The 11990-nt window shown below is 38.1% G+C and overlaps 1 pseudogene, besides 1 other annotated feature; it reads left to right on the top strand.

Moving 5' to 3' along the window:
* Positions 764-911, top strand: RPL31P9 (ribosomal protein L31 pseudogene 9; annotated as a pseudogene).
* Positions 10876-11632: an enhancer, noted in NCBI's record as "H3K27ac hESC enhancer chr18:64794127-64794883 (GRCh37/hg19 assembly coordinates)". NCBI's record gives its function as "activates a minimal SCP1, AML or CMV promoter by ChIP-STARR-seq in naive H9 embryonic stem cells {active_cell/tissue: H9 hESC(naive)}" and the evidence as "EXISTENCE:reporter gene assay evidence [ECO:0000049][PMID:30033119]".

Here is an 11990-nt window from a genome sequence, read left to right as displayed (position 1 = left end):
TACTAGTCAAGTAAGGTTATATGGCCAACCCAGATTTAAGGGTCATGAAATAGATCCATTTCTTGATAGGAGGGAAAGTGTTTAGGGTTAAGTTTGCAATCTATCTCAATCTTTCCCCTGTTGTATAATTTTCACATTCCTCTTATGTGCAAACATAATCACTTCCATTCAAAGACTCTCTAAATTGTCATTCGATTATAATATTAAATTCCAGGATCATAATTTCATTGCATCATCTATATCAGGTCCAGATGAAAATGAGACTCTTGTGGGAAAAGCCTCTCTGGTATAGCATCTCTTCATCTGTAGGCCTCTGAACTAAGGAACAAATAATATCCTTTTCACACTTCAAATATGATGGTGAGACAATGTATAGATAACTGTAGTAAATGCTTACATTTGGATAACTGTAATAAATGCTCATTGGCCACTGGTCCATAAGATTTTAAAAATTCAATGTAATAAATGCTCACAGTATATGGATAATTCTAATAAATGCTCATCAGCCACTGGCCCATAAAATTTTAAAAATTCCATTGGGTTCATGGTGCCAGGATCCCCTAAATAAGCAGTTGTGCCCATTGCTTAAATTGTACCTAGTTGTCATCTCCCTACTCCATTGCTCTCTGTTTCCTGCCTACACCATATGGAATCTTTATTCTGCCTCCTGAGATGTCCCACATTTTTCTTATGAAATTGCCAACATTTGTAGCCAAATAACTTTCTCAACACATTTCCTGCTTGTAAAAAGCTGACAACACCAAAGGCATGTCCCATATCGTGTCCATGTGCAATTGTCCAGAAAATGTAATGAGGATAAAGATTTATCAAACAAGCTCTATACTTTGGTTACCTATGTACCTGTTACCATTTTCAAAACTCTAAAAACAGTCAATGTGGATGAGAGCTAATAGCTGCTTGTCAAATAAAGTTATAAAACCACAAAAAAGGAGGCGTTTTGAAATTTAAGCAATTTCATTTTCTTTTAGTTTAAAATACCATATTTTCCTTAAGAACTTTTGTGGGGATATTATGTATCACTTTATATTCTATTCTATTAGGGGGAAAAAAAAACTTACTTTTCTTTCTGAGACAACCTTCTCTCTACTTGGTGTGTTTTGACTTTTGTGAAACCAATTCTTCTAGTTGAGAGAGTTTAGTAGACATTGTATTAAATCTTTTGAAGTTATTAATATGAAGTGCTATAACCACATCTTTGATATTAACTATGGCTTTAGGTCTCCTTTTGATTCAAGAACATTTTACTCACTCAGAGACTAGGGATCAGAGTTTATTTTCCAACCCAATAATTTATGGCTCCTCTATAACCCTTTAACTTACTCTTGCAATCATAACAGTTTCATCTATAGCTTATCTCTCCCCTGGAGTTCTTTATCATATGCAGCTGGAAACATCCAGCTGACACTTTCAATATTCTGTCTGGTGGTATCTTTGGACAATTCATGTTTATTAGGTACATTTTCTATCTGACAAGTGACACAGGTTACAGTTCTGCCAATTGTTTCACAGCCACATAAATAAATTGTCAGTTTTTCCACCCTTCAATAATAATTTCTGCCAGGCACAGTGGCTCACACCTGTAATCCCAGCACTTTGGGAGGCCAAGGTGGGAGGATCATGAGGTCAAGAGATGGAGACCATCCTGGCCAACATGGTGAAACCCCATCTCTACTAAAAATACAAAAGCAATAGCTGGGCATGGGGGCACGTGCCTGTGGTCCCAGCTATTTGGGAGGCTGAGGCAGGAGAATCGCTTGAACTCAGGAGGCGGAAGTTGCAGTGAGCCGAGATCATGCCACTGCACTCCAGCCTGGTGACAGAGCGAGACTCCGTCTCAAAAATAAATAAATACAAACATACATACATACATAAATACATACATACATAAATAATTTCTGCACTGTTTCTCTAGCCTTTTTCCAACTGAGTCCTTGGTAGCTTTTCATTCTCTATCACCCAATTCCAAAGTCAATGCCATACATTTTAAGTTTTGTAAAGACCCATTTCTAGGTATCAATTACCGTACCAGGTAGCTTTTTTCCCTTGTAACAAACTATACCAGAAGTTAGTAGCTAATGAGAACAACACACATAAAGATTCATTTAGATAAATTCTGTGATTGCTCTAGCTTAGTCAGCTTTGTTGCTCACGCCTCTAAGATGAGTGAGGGTTGGAAGCTGCTGTCTGTTGTTTAGCAGGCTGGTGGTTCAGCTGTGCCAGTTTATTACTTCTTCCTTGTGGTCTCTCATTGTCTAGATGCCTGGTTTGGCCTTATTCATAAATTTGTCTGAGGCTAGACAGCAGCAGCTAACATTCGAACACTTTCAATGCTCTGTGTGCCTCAGGGGATTGGTAATGTTCTAATCACCACTGCAAGTAAAGTGTGCTCGTCATTGCATGGCCAGCTCATACCCAAGGGTGGAGATACACATTACATACTTTGATGTGGGGGTCGGGGGGTAATTTGTCAACATATTTAACTCTATCATAGTATGTTTCTATTTGTTCTTTTCTGTTTCTTAAAACATAAGAAGAAAACCACCCACGGATAGTTGCTGGCCTCCCCAGCTAGCCCAGAAATGGATACACAAACAACAGACCTAAGTTCAACACACAGAAAGGAGCCACGGCCAGCCAGAGCTTTAGCTTTAAGTAGAGCCACTCAGACGGCTCGCCACCAGTCACTTGATGTCCAGCAAACGCATACACAAAAGAATATGTGAGCATTGCTTCACACCACTGCACTTTAAAATGGATTATTATACAGCAATAACTAACTGATACAGAAATTAGCCCTTAAACACTGAGTGCTTCTATAACAAAGTATTTAAGTATGTGGTAATTGACTTGGAGGTAGGTGAAATATAGCAAGATAAATAATAGAGAAAATGGGAATCATTTTCAAAAATTACTATAGGAAGCTGCAAAAAGGGTAATACATGCTATGTTGTGGTGACGTATCTATTAAAACTGCCTCCTGAAATAATCTGGAAAGAAGAAAATAGAGAAAACTAACAGTAGGAGATCAAGCAGTATTTGTCCAGTGTGATCTCAGAGTTGTTATAAACCAGTGACTGCTATGCGCCTGTTAGTTTTTTCCATTTTACTTATAGTAGCTTGTCTCTAATCTCTCATTACAAGTTTGTTTTAGACAGGATATTACCTTTACTGTTTAGGATCTAACTCTCCAGATTCAATGGAGGCTGATACATTGAGGTGTGCTGCAACTTTCTAAATTCGAAGCCTAGGGTTATGATAGTTTAGATATTTGGGAGTCTTGAGAGGGAGATTAGAGTATTATTTTGCAAGAGAGCACATGGTGGTAGACTGAATTATTAGCCCCAGTTCATCATCTCTCCTTGTTCCTTGGCCCTGTGCCACGTGACTTTGCAGTTATAGTCTCTGTTGTGTGGAAGCATGAACGTACCCCTTTAATATAGGGCCAGGCCAAGACCTTGCCTCAGAAAATGGAACATGGGGTCAGTGGCAGCGTGCTGTTTCCCAACCTCAGCCTTCAGAGGAACTGTGTCTTTCCAGTTGCTTTTTGAGCTTCTTCCAACACCACAGTAAAAGCTTTCTCTAGGTAAGTTCTTCTCCATTAGCTTGTACCCCACAGTGGGATCACACAGAACATATTTAACCTGGCAGGAGGCAACATGCAGTGGTCAGTGAGTCCAGTGAGACCTGCAGCTTGAACCATATCATCTAGCCTCACTCATTCTACATCAGCCACAACCAGACACACATAAGTGTGAGTGAGAATAAATGATTGTTACTATTTGCTGCCAAGTTTGGAGTGTTTTTAATGAATCAATATATGACTGATACATGTAAATTGATGACCAGATGACTGGGGTGGCGGGCAGATAAACTGAAGACCTTATCTGTACTATCTGGGTTGGTTTATGTCAGATAAACTATGAATGTTCACAATGTTTACCTAATTATTTCTCTGTCTAAATCAATACATTTTCTTTCTTCATGCTTCAATGATAAGAGCTGCATGTGCTGTTAAGAACAAATGGAATCAATCTGTTTTCCTTGCTGTAAATTTTCTTGATGAACAAGAAACCAGTAGATAATTTTTTCTTATTGATGCATAGGATATCTTCAAGAAATTCTAACAATCTCAGCTTTATATTTATACAGTCAGATACCCGGCTAATGAAAGCAAGGTCACAAAACAGCAAATGGTACAGTTCAGCCCAATTTTGAAAAGCTTTTATTTTTAATTCAATTTGTGCATGAACAATTTTACCTAAACCATTGCTTTAGTCTCTCTGTTTGGGTATTTGTTAACAGTAGTTAATAGCAATCCTATAAATGAGAAATCTTTGATATAACAAAAGTTTAGTCAAGAATAATTTAATAGAGAAAATGGAATAAAAAGTGAGGACTTTAAGAATTACCTTCACTATAAATGAAACACCACCAAACACATACATACACGCTCCCAGGAACCAAGGTATTTTTCATTGGGGCAATGACTAACCCCAGGAATGAGTGAAGGGAGAGGCCCCTACCTTGGATCTTTACAAACTACCAATTTGTTTCTGTAGCACCTGGTTTTTCCATCATATTTATCTGTGCCAAGACACACAGCACTGATTACTTCCATGATTGAGTTAGCATATTTACTTCTGCTTCTCATCTTTATGTACACTTTGTCTCAAAATACTTTATGTACACATCGTCTCAAAATACGGCCAATAAAACAGACAATATGTCATTTAAAATAAATATTTTCTTATCTGCTACTCAAAAGACCTATATAATATAAAGGCACTGGAGTGCAACCTCTTTCCAGTTTAAATAAACTCTATTACCAAATTCTACAAGTTTCTTGTACAAAGTATATTTGATCACCTTTTGTGGTGCGGTGAGATACTGCTTATAAAAGCTGATGGTTTTAGGAGGAGAAAGGATTCTTAGGGGTTTAAATACTGCTTGAGCACTTCTCCACTTGTTTCAGAATCGAGCCCTTCAGCTGTTATTTTCCATGAAACATAATGATGATTTGTCTGCAGCAGCCGAATGGGTGGCAGCTTTTTAAGTATTTCGTGGTCATGTCATGTTTATGAGAATACCAAAAAATGATCCTCGGTTTTTATAAACATGCCACATATGAAGTTCTACATTTGTTTTGGTAGGGGGTTTTCTTGTCTTTGGGTGTTTTATTTATATTGCTTATTATATTCTGAAGGTCTTGTTCAAGTATTTATCTACAAAACGAGGGAATCAAACTTCAAAAAGGTAGGAGGGCAGACTAAAAGGGCAAGTCTTTGAAATTTTCTAGACACAGTCCAATATCCCTGCAGCAACTTGTTATTCCTGCTGTTGTGTAACTGCAGGTGCAAGTTGCCTTTGATTAAGTAATTGGGTTCAGGAAACTCTCAGGCATGAACACACAATTATCGCTTCTGTTTGCTTTTTGCTCCTCTCACCCACAAAAAGACATCTGGCTCAACTGTGCCATCAGGAATAAAGGGAAGAAAATTGAACAATTGATCCAAATTGTAGTTTTTAAAACTTCTTACAAATCTTCTTTTCAACAAAAAGAAAACAGGAATTTGTTCTTGACAGCCCTTAAGAGAAGTAACAGGGAATCAGAAATAAAACCTGTATCAATTCAAAATAATAGCTTTAATTTTTTAGGTAATGTTGTTACACACTTTCATAAGAAATAAATTGACACTTTTGTCTTTGTGGTCATCATGGAACAGTGAGTAATATCCAAAATGAAATCAGACACTGAGGAAGAATCGTGGGGATGTGGATGCACTTCTTTCTTTCTCCTTCTTCAATATTATTTTTGAAACTTCCATACCCCCGGTTTTCAATTTTAAGAAGAAAAATAATAAATCATCAAGATACATACTGTTCAGAGATTTGGTGAGTTGTGTATTCTATACTCACACCAGTTTAAAATACAGCTAACTAAGGAGACAGATTATATTTTCTGATACTGTCAAATATTCCATTTTTATCACAACAATGACACTTTTTTATGTGATAACATAGGTAATAGCCTATGGCAAATCATAATTATTGTTCAACCGGTTACTATGATGAAATGTATTCTCAGATATCACATCTGACAACTCAGTTATTAAGCATAATATCTAGGCTTTAAAATGTGATTCAATATATATTTCATGACTGGCTATAGAGAGGCAGGTCAAAGGTGAAGCTTATTGCTCACTACTGACACTACTGCAATCATCTCTCTGTTTTGAAATATTTTAAACATCTCAATACCCTTCCAAGTTTACTCCACTCCTACTATGTAACATATACTTTTAAACAGTGTTCTCTCCTTGGAATTCTAGAGGCCAGTTTAGAATATTAGCTTATAAGAAATAAGAAAATGAGAAAATAAGAAACAATATTTTAATATTCTATACTCTGTAGTTGATTAAAAAAATCTAACCTCAGGGAACATATAATGGTTACCTCTGGAGGACTGTCTGGGTTCAGAAGCAAATTTCAAGTGATGTAAACAGATGAGAAAACTTTTTCAAACACCGATATTATTACTATGAAGTTTTAGTGACAAATTTTAGCTTAAAAAGTAATTTTGTAAAAATATACATGCATAAACATACATGAAAGTATTCCTACATTTAAAAGGAACTATTCATCATGGTAAGAAACTGTTAGGAAATTCAGTAGGCTTTCTGCCATTGTGGTAAGATGAATGATGAATCAGATGCAAGGCAGGGTTCCTTAATAATTTATTGGGTCATGAGTTATGGTTTTGTTCAATTGAAAATTATTAGATGGGTTTGCCTCAGGCAAAGAGCATAGTGTCTGGAAAGGGAAAATAGATTAAGCAAACATACCATGAATTTAATCATCTCGAACAGTGTACTGGATAAAGGTCCTGATGCATTTATCATTAATTCTGGGGAAAATTTTGCCCCTCCACAACATAATCACAAGATGTTGTTATCAGTACAGTTCTGTAAATGGGATGTTCATAATGAATAGTTAGTGTAAGTCATTACTTTCACCCAATGTTCTTCCTTGTGAATGAGGATAAGGAAAAATGCAGAAGCCAGAGTTTGAGCGTTTTTTTTTATTAAAAGGTAATATTTTTGTATCTATAATCACTAATTTATATTTCTCACCCATTTAACATACCTTATTGAACACTAATTTTGTGATAGAGAAACTGTTCAGAACTCATTGTGAAGAACCACTTTTACATAAATTTTTGGTGGTAGTCACTTTTGAAGAGAGAACAGTTTTACATGGGCTGTCTTAGGCTAAGACATTTGTAATGTTGTTCAGGTTTGGCCAAAATCATAAAATTAATGTGTAAGTAAAACTAAAACCCCAGTAACATCTCTTTATAATTTTTGAGAAGTTAACATATATTTATTCTTGTATAAAATAAAGCAATGATCTTTTAAACACTGTATAAGTAATAATTAGTTAAAGGGTATAAGCTAATGTTAACTCAATCTCTAATAATTATGTATTTCGTTTCATAATTTTGGAGTTTCATTTTAGGAAGTTTTTCATGATGTCTCAGATTGTTCTTTACCTAATGATTCCTCAGAAAATTGTATTGTCCTGGCCAAAAAACAACACACACACACACACATACACACACAAGTTATATTGGTTTTATTTCCCTCCATGATAAATATCCAATGTAAGTCTCAATATACAGGGATGTATGACTCTCAATGGCAAAACAGTATGGTCATATTTAAATTATAATGTTTATTTAGCAGCAAGCTTTCACTGAAATGCTGCTCTTAAAAACTAAAGGGGAACATTCTACTGATTTTGGGTAGTAAAACATTTCAGCCACCTATCTCTAGGCTTCAGAGACAACCCAGTAACTGACTCATAATGGTCAACCTCAGGTGCCCTTTGACTGAGGCTACGGATGTAATCTAGATTCCTGTACTGCTCTGGCCAGAGGTGTCTGTTCATTTCTACAGAATATTGCAGAGAAAACTACAAATGTTCTTACATATTAAGTACATATTTTTATAAAAAAATGAAGTGTTCATAATACTCAAATTAATCGCGAGTTTCAATGCAATCCCTATCAAATTACCAATGACGTTATTCACATAAATAGAAAAAATTCCTAAAATTGATACGGAACCACAACAGACTCTGAATTGCCAAAGTAATCCTGAGCAAAAAAGAACAGAACCAGATGCATCTTGTTACTTGACTTCAGAAAATACTAGAAAGCTCTAGTAACCAAAAAAGCAAAATTATTGGAATAAAAATAGACATGGAACAAGATAGAAAACCCATAAATAATTCCAAGCAATTACAGCCAACTGAATTTCACCAAAGGTGCCAATAATCTCTAATGAGAAGAGAACAGTTTCTTTAAGAAATGGTGCCAAGAAAACTGAATATTCACATGTATACAAATAAAATTAGAACCTTATCTCACACCATATACAAAATCAACTCTAAATGGATTAAATACTTAAATGTAAGACCTGAAACAATGAAATCACCACACAAAACCATAGGGAAATTCTCCAGGACATTGACCTAGCCAATGGTTTTTTGGATACGATTCCAAAAGAAAATGCAGCAAACATAAAAATGGACAATGGATTTTATCAAACTCAAAAGCTTCTGCACAGCAAAGAAAACAATAAACAGGATGAAAAGACAACTTATAGATGGGGGAAAATATTTCCAAACTATACATCTGATAATGGGTTAATATCTAAAATATATAAGGAACTCAACTCAATAGCAAAAGAACAGCTATCCAAATTACAAATTAGTCAAAGGGACTGAATGGACAGTTCTTAAAGGAAGATGTACAAGGTGTACAAATGGCCAATGGGTATATGAAAAATGGTCAACCTCTCTAATCATCTGGGAAATGCAAATTAAAACCATGATGAGATGTCATCTTACACCAGTCAGAATGGACATTATCAAAAAGACAAAAGATAAGAAGTGTTGATGAGCATGTGGGGAAAATGGGACTCTTGCACACTATTGGTGGCAATGTATTAGTGCAGCAATTATGAAAAACAGTAGGGAGGTTCTTCAAAACATCAAAAATAAAACTTCCATATCAGCTAACAGTCCTACTACTGGCTATGTGTTCAACAGAAATGAAATTAGTATGTCAAAAAGATATCTGTACTTTCATGTTTATTTCACCTTTACTCACAATTAACAGAATTATTTTAAAAATCACCCAATCACACTTTTTACTCCAGTATTTATCACATATTTTATGTCATAATCTGTGAGTTGCTGATGCATAAGAACTGAACAAAACAGTCAAATATTTTCAACCTCATAGACATTATATTCTAGTGCAGCAAAATGATAAGAAAAATAAAATCAAGTATAATAAACTGTATATGAAACATATTCTGTGGATAACATAAAGCAATAAAAAGGAATAGTGAGTCATGCGTAGAAGGCTTGTAATTCTAAATGTGTGTTTCATAAATTATATGGATGCCTTAGTGAAAATATAATATTTGAACCAGGAGCAAAGGTGAATAAGGGCATAAAACTGTTATCTTTGAAAAAAGTGTTCTGGACAGAGAGGATACATATTTAGTCTTCGAAAATGGGTATTGGAGTGGGAGCGTAATTACCCCCCCCCCAAGCCCCACCCTACAATAATAAATATCTTTTAAGAGATCAAAAGTACTTTGGTTTTACTCCGAATACAGTGGGATGCTAGCATGGAGTTGGCATGATCTGAAATTGAAATTGACTGGATAGCTCTGACTGCTCTTAGAAAATAAACTGAGGAACAAGAGTAGAAGCAGAGAGATTGTTGGAAAAGAAGACTATTTCAAAAAGTGCAAAGATAAATTGCAGTTATTTGTGCTACATTGATAGTGGTTAAAGTGATATAAAGTGTTCTGATTCTGGGCATATTCTTAAAAGGTGGGTTTCTGATAGAGTAGATGTGTCGGGTAAGGGGGAGAAGTAAAGGATGATTTTTAAATGTGTTTCTGCTGAGAAATTGGAAGAAATGGAAAAGACACTGATTGGAATGAAGAAACCTGAGGGAAGAGAAGAGAGGGGATTTTTTTTTCTTTTTTTTCTTTTTTTTGATTTCAAGTTAGATTTCTTTTTTTCCCTGGGAAGAGTTGCAGATGAAGATCTTATTTTGGGTGTATTTAGTTTGAGATGCCTATATCCTAGTGAATAGATCATGCAGGCATTTGGATATAAGAGTGCGGAATTGGAGAACAGGTCTGGATTGGACATACAAATTTTGAATAAGTTGGATTTTAGAAAGCATTTAGAAATATTAGACAATAAAAGATTGCTTTAGGATTGAGCATAGATAGAAAAGAATTCTAAAGACAACGCCCTATAGCCCTTCATATTTAAAAGTCTTTGGTATAAGGAAGAACAGACCAGAGTCTGAGAGTCCAGTGATGTTGGTGAAAAGCCAGAAGAAAGTGGCATCCAACCGGGTGAAGAGACTTTTTCTAGCAGCAGGACATGATCAACTATACCAAATCCTGTTGGTGTGACTTAAAACCACTTACATTAATTTAAATGCTCAACCAAGTGCAATCAATAAACAATCCATATTATCTTTTAAATCCACTAAATTACAATTAGTGAATTGTTTCCTAGAAATATTTTCCACAAATAATGTTATTGTTCTTCTAAAAGCCATGATCTCATATTTGATATATATTTTTCTTTAAATCACTAAATATTCCACATAAACACCCACTTGAATTCATGTGTTTTTCTCAAATGTTCTTACACTTATTTTCTATATGTACATTCTTTATTAAAACTATTATCTCTCCCTCTCCCTCTCCCTCTCCATCTCCCTCTCTCTCCCTCTCCCTCTCTTTCCACGGTCTCCCTCTCCTGCTGAGCCAACGCTGGACTGTACTGCTGCCATCTCGGCTCACTGCAACCTCCCTGCCTGATTCTCCTGACTCAGCCTGCCCAGTGCCTGCGATTGCAGGCTCGCGCCGCCACGCCTGACTGGTTTTGGTGGAGACGGGGTTTCGCTGTGTTGGCCAGGCCGGTCTCCAGCCCCTAACCGCAAGTGATCCGCCAGCCTCGGCCTCCCGAGGTGCCGGGATTGCAGACGGAGTCTCGTTCACTCAGTGCTCAATGGTGCCCAGGCTGGAGTGCAGTGGCGTGATCTCGGCTCTCTACAACCTCCACCTCCCAGCCGCCTGCCTTGGCCTTCCAAAGTGCCGAGATTGCAGCCTCTGCCCGGCCGCCACCCCGTCTGGGAAGTGAGGAGCGTCTCTGCCTGGCCGCCCATCATCTGGGATGTGAGGAGCCCCTCTGCCCGGCTGCCCAGTCTGGAAAGTGAGAAGCGTCTCCGCCCGGCTGCCATCCCACCTAGGAAGTGAGGAGCACCTCTTCCCGGCCGCCATCACATCTAGGAAGTGAGGAGCGTCTCTGCCCGGCCGCCCATCGTCTGAGATGTGGGGAGCGCCTCTGCCCCGCCGCCCCATCTGGGATGTGAGGAGCACCTCTGCCCGGCCCCGACCCTGTCTGGGAGGTGAGGAGCGTCTCTGCCCGGCCGCCCCATCTGAGAAGTGAGGAGACCCTCTGCCCGGCAACCGCCCCATCTGAGAAGTGAAGAGCCCCTCCGCCCGGCAGCCGCCCCGTCTGAGAAGTGAGGAGCCTCTCCGCCCGGCAGCCACCCCGTCCGGGAGGGAGGTGGGGGGTCAGCCCCCCGCCCGGCCAGCCGCCCCGCCCGGGAGGTGAGGGGCGCCTCTGCCCGGCCGCCCCTACTGGGAAGTGAGGAGCCCCTCTGCCCGGCCACCACCCCGTCTGGGAGGTGTGCCCAACAGCTCATTGAGAACGGGCCAGGATGACAATGGCGGTTTTGTGGAATAGAAAGGGGGGAAAGGTGGGGAAAAGATTGAGAAATCGGATGGTTGCCGTGTCTGTGTAGAAAGAAGTAGACATGGGAGACTTTTCATTTTGTTCTGTACTAAAAAAACTTCTTCTGC

Source organism: Homo sapiens, chromosome 18 (assembly GCF_000001405.40).
Source record: "Homo sapiens chromosome 18, GRCh38.p14 Primary Assembly".
Lineage (NCBI taxonomy): Eukaryota > Metazoa > Chordata > Mammalia > Primates > Hominidae > Homo > Homo sapiens.
This window is presented reverse-complemented; position numbering and strand designations above follow the sequence as displayed.